We start from the raw sequence: 14,552 nt of genomic DNA on the forward strand, positions 1-14,552 counted from the left end.
CAAATTCCATTATTATGAAAAGAGTATATATCACACTATTCAATTATTCATTCATTCAACAAATACTTACTGAGCATCGACACTGTTTTAAGTGTTAGAGATTTGACAATGAACTAGAAGATAAGGTTTCTGTTTTTCAGCAGCTTACATGCTTGGTGTATAGCTAAGATCCAAGCACACAAATCTTATTTTAATATAATTTCAGATAATGATAAGTTCAATTTTAAAAAGTAAGAGTTAAGTTTAGCAGAGTTTAATCTAGGCAGGGAGGGCTGTTTTTGATGTGTTTGTTGTTGGGTTTTTTGTTTTTTAGTCAAGATGGTTAGAGAAGGTGTCCCCAAGGAAGTGACAGTTGAGTTGAATAGAGCCCTGATAAAAGAAAATGGGAAGGGTCAGGAAGATGTTGAAGAAGTTTAAAGCTAGATGGAAAGCTTTGAGAAGGAAGTATTGACTATTGTGAAGTTGCAAGAATGGAGCAGAGTAGTAGAAAGAGTTCAAAGAGGTAAAAAAAAGACCAGATCAAGCAAGTGATCCAAAGTATCTCATAATCAAAATAATGGCCCCCAGATGCCCATGCTCTAATCCCCAGCACCTGTGAATGTGTTCCCTTACATGAAAAAAAGGGACTTTGTAGCTATGATTAAGTTAAGAATTTTGAAATAGGGAGATCATCCTGGATTATGTGGGCCCAAACTAATCACAGGAGACCTTAAAATCAAAGAGCCTTTATTGACTGCGGTCAGTGAAAGCGGTGAGGAGAGAAGCTGGCCCAGAATGATGCTCTCTTGCTGGCTTTAAGATGGAGGAAGAGGCCACAAGTCCAGGAATGCAGGTGGCCTCTAGAGGCTGAAAAAGATAAGGAAACTGATTTTCTCCTAGAGGCTCCAGAGAGAAACGCAGCTCTGTAGCCACCTTGATTGTAGTCCAGTGAGACATACATCAGATTTCTGACCTACAGAAAGGTAAGAAAGTAAATTTGTGTTGTTTTAAACTACTAAGTTTGTGGTAATTTTTTATAGCATCAATAAAACTAATATGAGGGATTTGAGCAGGGGAGTGATATGATGTGTACAACCTGTGTTTTGAGTGATTACTCTGACAGCTATGTGGAGAATATACTGTCAACACTGAAGTATATTCTCCACATAGCTGTCAGAGTAATCACTTAAAACACGAGTGGTTTAACACAAGAAACCAAAGATAGTGCCAGTAAGACGAGATAGGATACCATAGTTGCTGAAAGCAACTATGATTGCTTGGACTAGGGTAACCAAAGTGATGATAAGAAGTGGAAATATTTGAGATAAAATTTGGATGTAAAATCGTGAATGTAGTTCAAAGTCATAGCATTAAATGAGACCATTCCTACTCTACCGCTTTAGTCAATATGGTAGCCACTACCTCCATGCAGCTACCATTAAAATTAATTAAAAGCTAATAAAATTAAATGTTCAGTTTCCAAGGCACACTTGTCACATCTCAAGCTTAATTGACACATATGGCTATTGGCTACCTATTGGGCAACACAGATAGAGATTTTCATCATCACAGAAAATTGCACTGGACAGGACTAAAAAAAATGGGACAAGATAGAGAAGAAAAATTTAAAAGGGTCAAGACTAGATCTCTGGGCTATTCCAACTCTCAGAGTGAGGGATAGGAAAAGGAAAAAGCAAAGTAGACTGAGGAGTGGTTAGTGTTTACTTTTTCCAAGATTTAAAAATATCAAAACACAAATTAGAATACTACACTTAAAACAGACAATGTGATTCCATATGTGATTAACATAAATGTTGTTTTTGCTTAGCTTTAGCTGTTAAATCAGCTAACAAGCTGGAGGTACTAATGTTCTCTGAGATTCCAGTTATTGTTTAGTTCCTTCTAGAATGGAACTTTGGCTCTGAGGGACAGAGTCAGAACAGAAGAGACACAATGAGAGAAAGGGTGGAGTGGTTCTAGAGTAGAGTTTGCATCCTTCATAATTGTATATTGTGCCATCATTGGACGAGATGAGCAGAGTGGCTAATGGAAAAAGAAAAGCAAGATTAATTTGAATAACAGTTATTTTCCCTGACTATGCCCAGACTCACACAAAGAAGCTCAAATTAAAGTTTTATCTTTGTACTTTTTCCACTTGCTTGAGAGCTCATGTTTTATGTTACTAATAAACAATCACCAGCTGAGGATTTCTCAGATGTCTACTGCCCCTTAGCCACAGTCAAGCACTCAATATCTTGGAAGCAGTTGACCTTTGATACCACATTATTTGATGGTTTTGATGTGTTCATGTAAAGAACACACAATCAAAAAAAGGGCAAAAATCTTACAAGGAGGCAGACCTTGGGTGACAGACTAATGGGTCTCTGAAAAACCAAAGGAGAACTTTAAGAGTTGGAAATTCTGAGAAGGGCGGAGAGCAGTGCAGTTTAGAGAGAGTGCCGCCATTTTGATTGTTACAGTGCAGTGTCTATAATAGTTACCTAAAAAGCATTTCACAAACTCATTTACTCTTTGAAATAGTGTTTTCTGTTATGGGATGAAGTATAAATATAGACTTAAGTTCAGCTTCTTGTAAGTATTGCCTTGTTGGCATCAAAGAAGAAATTGAAAGAAGAACTGAATAAAATGTATTATGAAATACAAAATTTGCTGAAAGACAAGAGAGGGAGGAAGTTGGATATGAGCATTCATTCAACACATATTTATACTCTTTGTCAAACCCTGACCTTGTTACAAAGAATGCGATGATTGAAGATGCAGAGTTTTTCCCCAAGAAACTCACATCTCAGTAAAGCACTTAAAATGAACATTTCAGTAAAGCACTTAGTAGAGTGGTCAGCACAGAGCACAGAGTATTCATCATCATTTTTTTTTTTTTTTTTTTTTGTGACAAAGTCTGGCTGTGTTGCCCAGGCTGGAGTGCATTGGTGCGATCTCAGCTCACCAAACTCTCCACTTCCCAGGTTCAAGCAATTCTCCTGCCTTAGCCTCCTGAGTAGCTGGGACTACAGGTGCACACCACCATGCCTGGCTAATTTTTGTATTTTTAGTAGAGACAGGGTTTCACTATGTTGGCCAGGCTGGTCTTGAACTCCTGACCTCATGATCCGTCTGCCTTGGCCTCCCAAAGTACTGGCATTATTCTTTTTTAGTTTGTTTGTTTTCTTAGAGATAGGGTCTAGCTCTGTTGCCCAGGCTGGAGTTGCAGTGGTGCGATCGTGGCTTAGTGCAGCCTCAAATTCCAGAGCTCAAGTGATCCTCTCACCTCAGCCTCTTAGTAGCTGGGACTACAGGCACTCGCCACCACACCTGGATTATTTATTTGTTTATATTTTTGTAAAGACTGGAGTCTCCCTATGTTACCTAGTCTGGTCTCAAACTCCTGGGCTCAGGTAATCCTCCCACCTCAGCCGGTGAAAGTACTAGGATTATAAGCATGAACCACTGCACCCAACCATCATTAATCTTATATGTGAATTCTCTCCTTCTGGACTCACTGTGGAACAAATCCTTCTGGAATAACTTCTGCTGTACCCGTTCTGTCTAAAAGATAACATCCTACTGGTATTTTGACATATTTTAGCATGATTTTATTAGTTCATGCTATTAATACACAGCTAAAATATTAGAAATATGGGTAGTTACCACATTATAATTAGTGTAAGTTATAATTACTCTTAAAAATGTCTGCTAAGATGTATCTGTGTTCTTGATTGGCAAGGAAGTAGAGCAAAGCAATAATAGCTTTGTTCTTCACTGACTTCACCCTTGGGTATTCCAGAAGTCAGTATTTCCTAACCTTTTTTTTTTTTTTTTTGGTCCTCTGTATCATCATAATTCTCTTTCTGGCATGCCTTTCCACCTAGTGAGTACATGAAAACACACGCACAATGAACAAATGCACACACTAGCACATAGAGCTAAGAAAATAAAATAGTAAGAACATGGAACTAAGAATCCAAGTAAATCTATGTTCTAGTTAAGCTTGGTGATTGCAAGCAAGAGAACTGCTGAAATTAGTTCCAGTAAGCAGTAGCAGGGGGAACATCTTATAGTGCCAGAAGGTAAGAAAGTGCTAAAAAAGAAAAAAGAAAAAACCACAAATGCCAAAAGGACACAGGAGCCAACTGAAGAGTTCCCAGTAGGCAAAGAGGAAAAAATTTAATCAATAAAACAAATAACATAATACTGCGTTATAACCAAAAATATAAAATAAATATTCATAACTGTGTATGTATTCATTATATGAATATAAATAATTGAATAAGTAAATACATAGGAGAGAATTAAAAAATGTCCCTTGCAGAAGAATTCCAAATAATTTATGTAGATACTCTGACCGAAAGGAGAGGAAGCATAATTCCCCATTTCTTAGCTGTGGGTTACACATAGTGACTTTCTTCTAAAGAGTACAGTATAAAAAGCACGGGAAGAGAGAGTAACTTTACAGTAGAGGAACCTACCAAACACTACCTCACCCAGGTGATCAAGTTGACATCATCAACAATAAGTTATGTTAGTAGCACGTACTCTTTTTTTTTTTTTTTTTTTTTTTTGAGATAGTGTCTGGTTCTGTTCCCCAGGCTACAATGCAGTGACATGATCTTGACTCACTGCAACCTCTTCTTCCCAAGCTCAAACCATTCTCCGACCTCAGCTTCCTGAGTAGCAGGGACTGCAGGCACATGCCACCATGCCTGGCTAATTTTTGTATTTTTTGTAGAGATGAGGGGTCTCACTCATTTGCCCAGGCTGGTCTTGAACTCCTGAGCTCAAGCGATCTATTGGCCTCGGCTTCCCAAAGTGTTGTGATTACAGGAGTGAGCCACTGCACCCAGCCACAGGTACTCTTTTATTTATTTTTTATTTCTTTTAATTTTGTATTTATTTCTTTACAAAACAAGGTCTTGTCTTGCTCAGTTTCCCAGGCTGACATGCAGTGGTGCACTCATAGCTTACTGTAGCAGTGGTGCAATCATAGCTCACTACAGCCTAGAACTCCTGGGATCAAATGATCCTCTTGCCTCTACCTCCTGAGTAGCTGGGACTACAGGCATGCACCAAAATCCCTGACTAATTTTTTTAATTTTTGTAGCAGTGGGGTCTTGCTGTATTGTCCAGGCTGGTCTTGACTTCCTGGACTCAAACAGTCCTCCCACCTCAGCCTCTCGAAATGTTGGGTTTATAGGTGTGAGCCACCATGCCTCACCAATAGGATGTACTCTTGCAATGTGATGAGATTGGCTGTTTATCTCTGTGACCTTCCTCTCCAAAACACATTACCCCAGTCTAATCACACACACACACACACACACACATACACACACACAACAACAGGCAAATCCCACTTGGAGACATTCTACAAAATGCCTGACCAGCAGTCCTTAAAATTACCAAGGTCCTCTAAAACAAGCAGTCTGAGAAACTATCAAAGCCAAGAGAAGCCTAAAGAGACATGATGACTAAATGTAATGTGGTATCCTAGATGTGATCCCGGAACCAAAAAAAAGGATATTAGATAAAATCTAAGGAAATCTGAGTAAATTATGAACTTCAGTTAATAATGCTGTGTCAGTATTGGCCTATTAGTTGTAACAAATGTACCACGTTGATGGAAGATGTTAATAAAAGTAATAATAGGGAGAATTAGGTGTGGATTTCTGGGAAGCTTCTGTCTTCTAAAAATTAAAGTTTTATTTTTAAAAAGTGGAGGAAGTGAAATCTGGCTGGTTACTGAAGGTGAAAGGGAATCTCTTAGAGTCAAAGATCAGACTCACGGTCATGCCTATGAAAAGCCAGACCTGGAGACTAGAGAGCATTAAGGCACAAGGGAGAGCATTAAGGCACAAGCCATCCTTGATGTTTTTCAGTAGCCACCGGATTTCTTATCTATGCTTTATCTAATATATTAGCTTCTCTTTCACAACTTTCTTTATCTACTAAGTAACCATGCACATGGTTCACCATGGCTAACATTTCTATCTCTCAGTCACTGCATTAGCTTCAGCAAGAATCTTAGCTGACTTAAGTCAATTTTTTTTCTTCATAATAGACACGGAATCTGATTAGCTGCCAGTCAGGCAATGGCTTGTCTGTTCTTAGAACAGATATGCAACCTTAGTCCACATAATTATTTTGGGAGGAGGAGGCAAAGAACCATGTGATATTTTAGGGTCTCAAATATGAAGGGTCTTTAAAATTTTCATGAAAAATATGTATTATGAAAAAATTGCGCATGGATCTCAAATTTTTTTGTACCAAAATAAACTCATACTAACTTGTTATAACATATCTGAACAGAATCTAGTTTGAGGCACTAAGAAGGGTAAGACATCAGTTTGAAAGGAGCCCCTATCAGAACAACATGATGTCTGCTAAAATTGAAACAAGAATAAATGGCAAATTTAAGGTGAAGCTTGGGTGAAAGGATGGTGAAATCACTGATGCTTTACAAAAAGTTCTAGGAGACAATGCCCCAAAGAAATCAGCATTATGCAAATAATAACTAGTTTTAAGAAGGGACAAGACAATGTTGAAGATGAAGCTTGAAGTGCATGCCATTCACATCAATTTTCAAGGAAAAAATTAATCTTGTTCATGCCCTAATTGAAGAGGACCAATTATTAATAGCAGTAACAATAATCAACACCATAGACATCTCAATTGACTCAGCTTACACAATTCTGACAGAAAAATTAAAGTTGAGTGAACTTTCCACTTGGTGGGTGCCAAAACTGTTGTGCCTAGATTAGCTGCAGACAAAAGTGGAGCTTTCAATGGACATTTTACATGAGGGGGATCAAGATCCTGAAGCATTTCTTCAAAGAATTGTAATAGGAGATGAAACATGGCTTTACCGGTACAATCCTGAAGACAAACCACAATCTAAGCAATGGCTACCAAGAGGTGGGAGTGGCCCAGTCAAAACAAAAGCTGACACATCAAGAGCAAAGGTCATGGCAGCAGTGTTTCGGGATGCTCAAGCATCTTGCTGTTGACTATTTGGGCGGCCAAAGAATGAAAACATCTGCTTATTTATGAGAGTGCTTTGAGGAAGCCAAAGCTTGAGCTGAAAAACGCCCAGGAAATCTTCACCAGAGAGTCCCTCTCCACCACGACAATGCTCCTGCTTATTTATCTCATCAAAGATAACAGTGCAGGAGTTTCAATAGGAAATCATTAGACATCTACCTTACAGTCCTCATTTGGCATCTCTGACTTCTTTTTGATTCCTAATCTTTAAAAAAATCTTTAGTTGGGCATGGTGGCTCACGCCTGTAATCCTAACACTTTGAGAGGCCAAGGCAGGTGGATCACTTGAGGTCAGGAGTTTGAGACCAGCCTGGGCAACATGGTGAAATGCCATCTCTAACAAAAATACAAAAATTAGCTGGGCCTGGTGGTGGCTACCTGTAACCCCAGCTACTCAGGAGGCTGAGGCAGGAGAATTGCTTGTACCCCAGAGGTGGAGGTTGCAGTGAGCCAAGATCATACCACTGCCCTCCAGTCTGGGCGACAGAGACTCTGTCTCAAAATAAATAAATAAATAAATAAATAAATAAATAAATAAATAAATAGATAAATAAATAAATCTATCTTTAAAGAGCACCCATTTTTCTTCTGTTAATCATGGAATAATATTGCATTTACATAGTTAATTTCCTAGGACCCTCAATTCTTTAGGGATGAACTAAATGGCTGATATCATTGCTTACAAAAGTATGTTTAACTTGCCAGAGCTTATGTTGTGAAATAATTTCAATATTTTTATTTTTATCCTTTAATTTTATTTTTCCATGAAATTTTTGAAGTCCCTTTGTAGAAAGTTCTTTAAGGTGAATAAGGACAGAGGAGGATAATGGAATAGGTTTAGTGCATATGACAAAAGCATAATATAAATATATACCTATACTATAAATTCTAAAATAATATAAAGAAACAACAGAAATTATCATGAGTTATGCTACAGTTGTGTAACAAGCAGAAAATCTTGATGTCATAAGACAATACATACAGATTTAACTCATGAGTCTGTAGCGTTCAGCCAATGTAGGCTGAGCTCAGCAGGGTTGGTCAAATATCTGTGGATTATTTCCATAGTAATGATGTCTGATGGTTGGCTAGCTATCAGTTGGAGCACTAGGGACACGTGGGCCACATGTCTTTCATTCTCTACCAGGCTAGCCTGGACGTGTTCTCATGGCAAAGTCAGGGAAGCAAAAGAAGAGATGGAAATGGCAGGTACTTTAACAAGCCTCTATTTGCATCACAACTGTGAACATATGCTGGCCAAATTTAGTCGCATGGCCAAACTCTAAATCAAGGATCAGGGAAATATATTTCCTCAATGCTGTGCTCTGCTAAGTCACATTGCAGAAGGTGCCAATATGATTGGTGGTGGTGGTGATGAAGAACTGGGACAATTAATACAATCAATGTACTGCATAAATGAAATATTTAAGTTATCAGATGGTGAGATTAATTTGAGAAGCCCATCCAGACAAAGTGATTTTGAATAAGTGTTTTTAAGCCAAATTATAAGAGAGCACAGATGGATGTATTCATTATTTTGTCTGATTTAAAAGTATTCCTACTTTTGTTATTATGGATAAAGGGATCAAAAGAGGACAGGATGTAGCAGCTTCTATGTCCTGGAGTGAAATTATGATTCAGTTATTAACTCTGCTGCTCAGTAGCCCACAAGAAGTAATGCTGTATCCTTCTATTTGGCCTTATCTATTGTGACAAGGCTCCGGGGAGCTGATGCGCATGAAATTCATTTCATGTCTCATGCACAGAATGCCTGAGTTTTGAAAATACCTTTATGATGTTTCAGGTTTCAGTTACCTAGTGTGTGATCTCACAAACTCACAGTCTTCAAAAGAAAGAACATTAACTTCTCTCAGAAGCTTCGGATTCTTTGTTACCAGAAACCCAGGAGGCATCATTGCAGGAGAAACATACAGGAGCACACAGGTCACTTTTGATAAAATGTCATGTATTCTAAGGGCACTAGAAATACGTTTTTATGCAAACTCAGTTGAAAAGATAGCACAGGTTTAGATAAAATAGATTCAAACCATGCTTATGTATAATACATTAACAAATAGATCATAGTCTTCCCATATCAAAGGTTTCTCAAAATACTTCATATAAATAAGAAAGACTATATTGTGACCATGGTAGCAAATAGATATAAAAATGTGCAAATAAGAACAATGGCATTTTCAGAATCTCACAGGAAAAATTCAATTACATCTTTCTTCCATTAAATAAGAAAATGTAAGAATACACAAAAGACTGGAACAAATATATAATGCCCTCTCATTCTGCAATAAATTGCCAGTGTTGCTTTTTATCACTCTTACTTCTTTCCATGTCATAATAATTAAATCTGAATCTTCCATTTTGGTTCCCTTCCAACAAGCCCTTGAGAATAAGGCTGACAAATGCTTGACACTCCCCTTACTCCGCCAATGGTATACATCACAGTTTGATTTGGGAGCTTTTCCCAGTAGAGACTAGACAAGGTCTACAAATCCATCTCAACATATTTCTCTGGTTAACTCCATGTGGGATTAGAACTAGCACCATGAGGAAACCAGTGTGACCTCCCTAACCCATTCGTGTCTCCTCCCTCTCTGCCTTGATTAGTCTAGCCAACTCCTACTCACCCCTCAAATTTCAGCTCACTACCACATCTCCCAGAAGGCTTCCCTGACTGATCATTCTCATTTTGGTATACCTCCCGTGTTCTCATAAAATCCTGGTCCTATCTCAATGAAAGAGCTGTTTGCACTGTGTCATCTTCTATATTTAGTTGTCTATCTATTCCACTCACTGGTCTATGAGAGAGATATGAGTGAATCAAAAAGAGAGAAAAATTATATTGCAATTTGTCTGCAGAGAGCAACTAAATCTCATAGCACAGTGCTTAGAACACGGTGCCTACCATTTTGGTGACTGTATGCTTGTCTGTGAGATGGAGAGTGAGTGAGCAAGTGAGTGATTTAGAAAGTGAATTAACTTGAAGAGAAAAGGCCCATGTGTACGTGTTTTTCCTTCTATCCCTGCTCCCCACTCTGAAAACTACAAAATGTTGGTGACATTTTTGAGAGCTTATTTGAAGCAAAAACAGTCCAGTTGAAAAATGTCAGTCTTATGTAACATCTCTAAAATTCTTGGGCTGGGATGAGAGGGTGGGAGCAGCAGTGAGGTGCTGACAGAAGAGGTTTTATTTTTGGCTCCATTGAGAGCGCTGAGGATACAAGTTGATTTATTTATGCAGGCAGCTCAATTCCATGACAAGAGCAATGGGGCTTGGAATTGAGAAACTACAGCTTACCTCTATCAAGTTACTTAAAAATTCTAAGCCCCAGTTCCTATTTTTGTAAACTAAGGACAACAAGAGCTACCTCCTTAGAATACTCCAAGGGGTTGTTACGACAAGATGGACAGATCACTGCAAGCCCCTTCACCTGGGATACACCCTGGCGATGTTGGCAGAATCTTTGCAGCTACTGGAAGTCCCAGAATAAAGTTGGTTATCTCTTCCAGCATCTTTTTATTCAAGGAGGTAGGGGACATATTAATTTTGTATTGAAATAAACAGGTATATTACATGTATAGAATGCAAAATGCTCATGAATATTTATGAGACTTCAAAGAAATTTCATACTTAGAGCAACAGACTATCCCCTGAATTGCCCAAGGGTTCATATTTACTTTTCTCTGCTGCTAAGTTAGAAAAGTTGGAAAAGCCCTGATTATGGTAAGTAGTTTCAAACACTTTCAAACATCACATAACTGTCTCAGATGGTCACAGTTTTAATATTATTTATTTACGATTTTTCCTTAGAAATGAGTCTTGTGACTAAGTACAGCTTATAGATCCAAAGCCAGCAGTGGCTACTTTGTCTTATTTTATAGACCATGTATGGAATTCTTGAAGTACATTTACATAATTATTTCCCCAAGCATCAAATTAATTAATTTTTTTGTCAGTCATGAATGCAAAGTGCATCTCTCTTTGGCAGATCCTTATAAGTAAACAATAAGAATGAGAAAAAATGTTAGACTTTCTGCTCAAGCAGTCTCTCCAACACATACAATAGTGGTGGCAACTCATCTTGCAGAAGAAATAAATTGCAACTCAGCCGGTGTGGAAGAGGTTTTCAAACATAGCATGCACAAGATGCTATTCTATGTTTGCTTTCAGGATTTGAAAAGAAATCCTGTGTAGGTGTTTTGTGAGAACTAGAAACTGCCACCACTGTTTAATTTCATATAACAACAAATTCCTTCCCTATGTGGTCATATTAATATTGCTGCTTAAGAGATTGATGCTTTTACCTACTCACGCACACCTGAATGTGTGAGTAAGTGAAACCTACACAAACCTACACACAATGATATTCAGTTTATTGGAAGACATGGCATTAAAAGCCATCAAGCCCAAACTGCTATTCAGTTTATAAGACAATGTGATATTAAAAGCCATCAAGCCCAAATACAAAAGAACATTGGAAGTATAGAAGTGTTACAAATAGAGAGGAGAAATCAAATGTAGAAGAGAAATTGTGAAGCAAGAGAAAGCAAGACTTCGGCAAGATAGAACCAACATTTGATACCAGAAATACCTGACAAGAGTGATTGCTATCAAGAGATGAAAAGGATATTTGTATTTTCTCAGGTTCTATGTGCATCTGCTTGTGATTATGTTCATAACTGCCAAACTTCTGTTTCATATTCCATATGAGAGAAGTTTTTGGTTGTTTGAAGAGTGTGTACATTTTGTTTTGTGTTTTGTATTTTAGGGCTGCTGACTGTTAAAAGAAAAATATGGATAGAATAGGAAGACCTCAGGGTTTCAGAGTTTGAAAAAGTTCTAAATATCATTTCTGGACTTTGCTCAAAACTCCAGCTGAATTTCAAGTTCTGAAACTGGAAAACACATCCTAGAAAAGCTTGCATTTTTACAAATTTATTTCAGAAATCTGCCTAGCCTTTGCAAAAGTCCTATTTTCTGATTTACCTGATGGCCCTGATTCGGCTGCAGGTTATTACAAGAAAGCTTTTCCCTTTTGTTCAAGACCCAAAGGACAAAGGATACTTTTTTCCCCCTAACAATTTATTTTACAGGCTTATCCTGATTCAGTGATAGAAGAATACTCACACTTGAAAAGTACTTCAGACTTGATGATAAATGCTGTGGTTAGGTATTATCTCCATTCAAGTGTGCAAAACCCTAGAGAACTGATTGACAGCTGTGGGACTGCATTATGTGAAGGAGGCTCCTCACACCCATCAGGAGTCTGCCTGATGAAATGACTTGATCAAACTGTTAACAAGATACCTGCAATTCCAATACCAAAGACCATTTGGTCGATGAGAGATTCTTAACCTTTGTTATAACTTTTGGATGAATAATCTAAAGCCAGAGACCAAAGATACTGAAATTATATCCTGTACTCTACTCCTTCTCACTGCTCAAGGCAGATTGCCACCAATATTCTGGAGAAAGAGAAAGAGAATACATCAAAGAAGGGGCAACTTCTGAACCACGTTTTCCAAGAATGTCTTTTGGATTGTCAAGAATATAAGAAATGCATGTACAGTACAACTGTTTAAGAAATTGATATTAGCCAGTATACTCAAAAACATCTAATTCAGGAGACAAGTAATGTTAAAATGATCTACATGGATTTTGAGTTGTCAATTCTTTAACCATTTTCTTAGAGAGGCACACACTGTAAATTGAGTCAAATCTGCATTCAGATTTATATTAGAATCCTTGAGGAATTAAATCTAGAATGAAAAAAATCACACTCAATCAATGCCCAGACTAGTCTGAGTTTATCTTACATGTTCCACTTCATAGGTGTGTGTGTGTGTGTGTGTGTGTGTGTGTGTGTGTTTGGAAAGTTTCAGGTTGATCAGCTTTACATGTCACTGAAAGATGCATTCAAAATAATCAAGAGCTTTAAGTGTAATGCAAACGCAAGTGTCATTGGAATGACAATGATCTCAGCATGCTATCTCTGTGGGATATCTATAGTCATTTCCTCCTAAGTACACATGCATCCGTTCCAGGGTCTTGAATGATACAAAGTCAGTGCTTCCTCAGGTAAGCAAATGTTTCCACAGTGTTTCCGTTTCTATAGAATTGTCATGCTGGGGATTTGTGGAATTTAAAAGAGAAATTTTATTTGAACAGGAAAACAACTTGTGTGGCTGGGAGGATAGGGGAAGGAAAGGCCCCTAGTGTGGGAGACTTTACCTTTTCTTCTGAGAAGAGGAGGAGTGGGGGGGGTGTGTTGGCGGAGATGCAGAATCTTTCTCCCCAAGCCCTGTCATCCAATACTCTCACTTACAAGGCACTTAGCCATCACTTCTCTCTGCTGATGGCTCTCCTCCCGCCATTTAAAAATATTCATTCACTTCCATTTTTCCAAACTCTTAGCTCTTGCTATACTTTCTCATTCTTTCCCGACTGCTTTTTTTTCCTTCACTTTTAAAGAAAAAATATTCATGACAATTGCTAAAGATGGGTTAAGCGGACTCCATTCGTTAGGGGCAAGGGGGCTATTACAACGGAGTTCTGAGGTAAGGGAGAGCGCTTGGGCTTAATTCAGAAAACAGCAAGGCCAAATGGAGATTTATAGCCAAGGAGTAGGGTTGGGGAATCAGAGGCTAAAAAATTACTAAGAGGAAACATCAAGGCTAGGGGAATTCCTGCTAGACCCACCACTTAGGATTCTTGCTGAAGGCAGGCCAGAGAGTAACATATCGAGGTCAGGGAATGAGGAATTTAAACAGATATCAAGGATGGGAAATTTTTACTAAACGAATTCAGCAGGATTCTTGCTGAAACAGGACTAAACCAGCCAAGTACAGAGCCAAAGGTCAGGGCCTTGAGGGCCTAGGGAAGCCCAAATAGAGTTAGGTCGAGGAGAGCTTCTGCTGTCACCTAAGATAAGATGAATGGTCCCCACAACTTTGTTTTCCAGTCTTCACAAGAAAGGCACACTTCATCAGATTCTTTTTCCTACGTAGACCCACATGTTGGCTCAGTGTCTGTGAAATAAATATGTACGATTGTAGCCTACAGACTGGTTCTGGATAAAACTGCCATTCCCCAGATAAGACACAGGTCTTCCTGTCTTGTTTCCAGTTTCTTCCACATTATTTTAGCAGAAAACTACAGTCATCTTTATACTTATTGCTTCACCCATATCTAATCTATTAACCATTTCTCAACATTCAACCTCCAAAACCTATCTCAAATATTTTGCTGCTCTCCGTTCCTACAGCCACTATCATAAGTCACTTCCTTCCTGGATTTCTACAACTGTCTTCTAATTGGTCTCTCTACTTCTTTTCTTATTTCCTTCTATCTCCTCCAAACTTTTCTATTCTCAAGTGAAACAAAAAGGCATTTTTAAAGCAAAAATGGAATCATATTATAAAAACAAAAGCCCTCTTTTTTGGACTCTCCATTTTACTTAGAATATAATGAAAACACCTGGCTTTGGTCTATAAATCCATGCATG

General features: G+C 38.2%; 1 long non-coding RNA gene across 2 annotated transcripts in view, besides 2 other annotated features; it reads right to left on the reverse strand.

Moving 5' to 3' along the window:
• LOC107985126 (uncharacterized) overlaps positions 1–14,552 on the reverse strand; it is a 93,388-nt gene that overhangs the window by 46,957 nt on the left and 31,879 nt on the right. The window lies entirely within an intron of this gene.
• Positions 7,998–8,499: an enhancer, noted in NCBI's record as "NANOG hESC enhancer chr18:25136675-25137176 (GRCh37/hg19 assembly coordinates)". NCBI's record gives its function as "activates a minimal SCP1, AML or CMV promoter by ChIP-STARR-seq in primed H9 embryonic stem cells {active_cell/tissue: H9 hESC(primed)}" and the evidence as "EXISTENCE:reporter gene assay evidence [ECO:0000049][PMID:30033119]".
• Positions 12,758–13,291: an enhancer, noted in NCBI's record as "OCT4-NANOG-H3K27ac hESC enhancer chr18:25141435-25141968 (GRCh37/hg19 assembly coordinates)". NCBI's record gives its function as "activates a minimal SCP1, AML or CMV promoter by ChIP-STARR-seq in naive and primed H9 embryonic stem cells {active_cell/tissue: H9 hESC(naive and primed)}" and the evidence as "EXISTENCE:reporter gene assay evidence [ECO:0000049][PMID:30033119]".

Source organism: Homo sapiens, chromosome 18 (genome assembly GCF_000001405.40).
Source record: "Homo sapiens chromosome 18, GRCh38.p14 Primary Assembly".
Taxonomy (NCBI): Eukaryota; Metazoa; Chordata; class Mammalia; order Primates; family Hominidae; genus Homo; species Homo sapiens.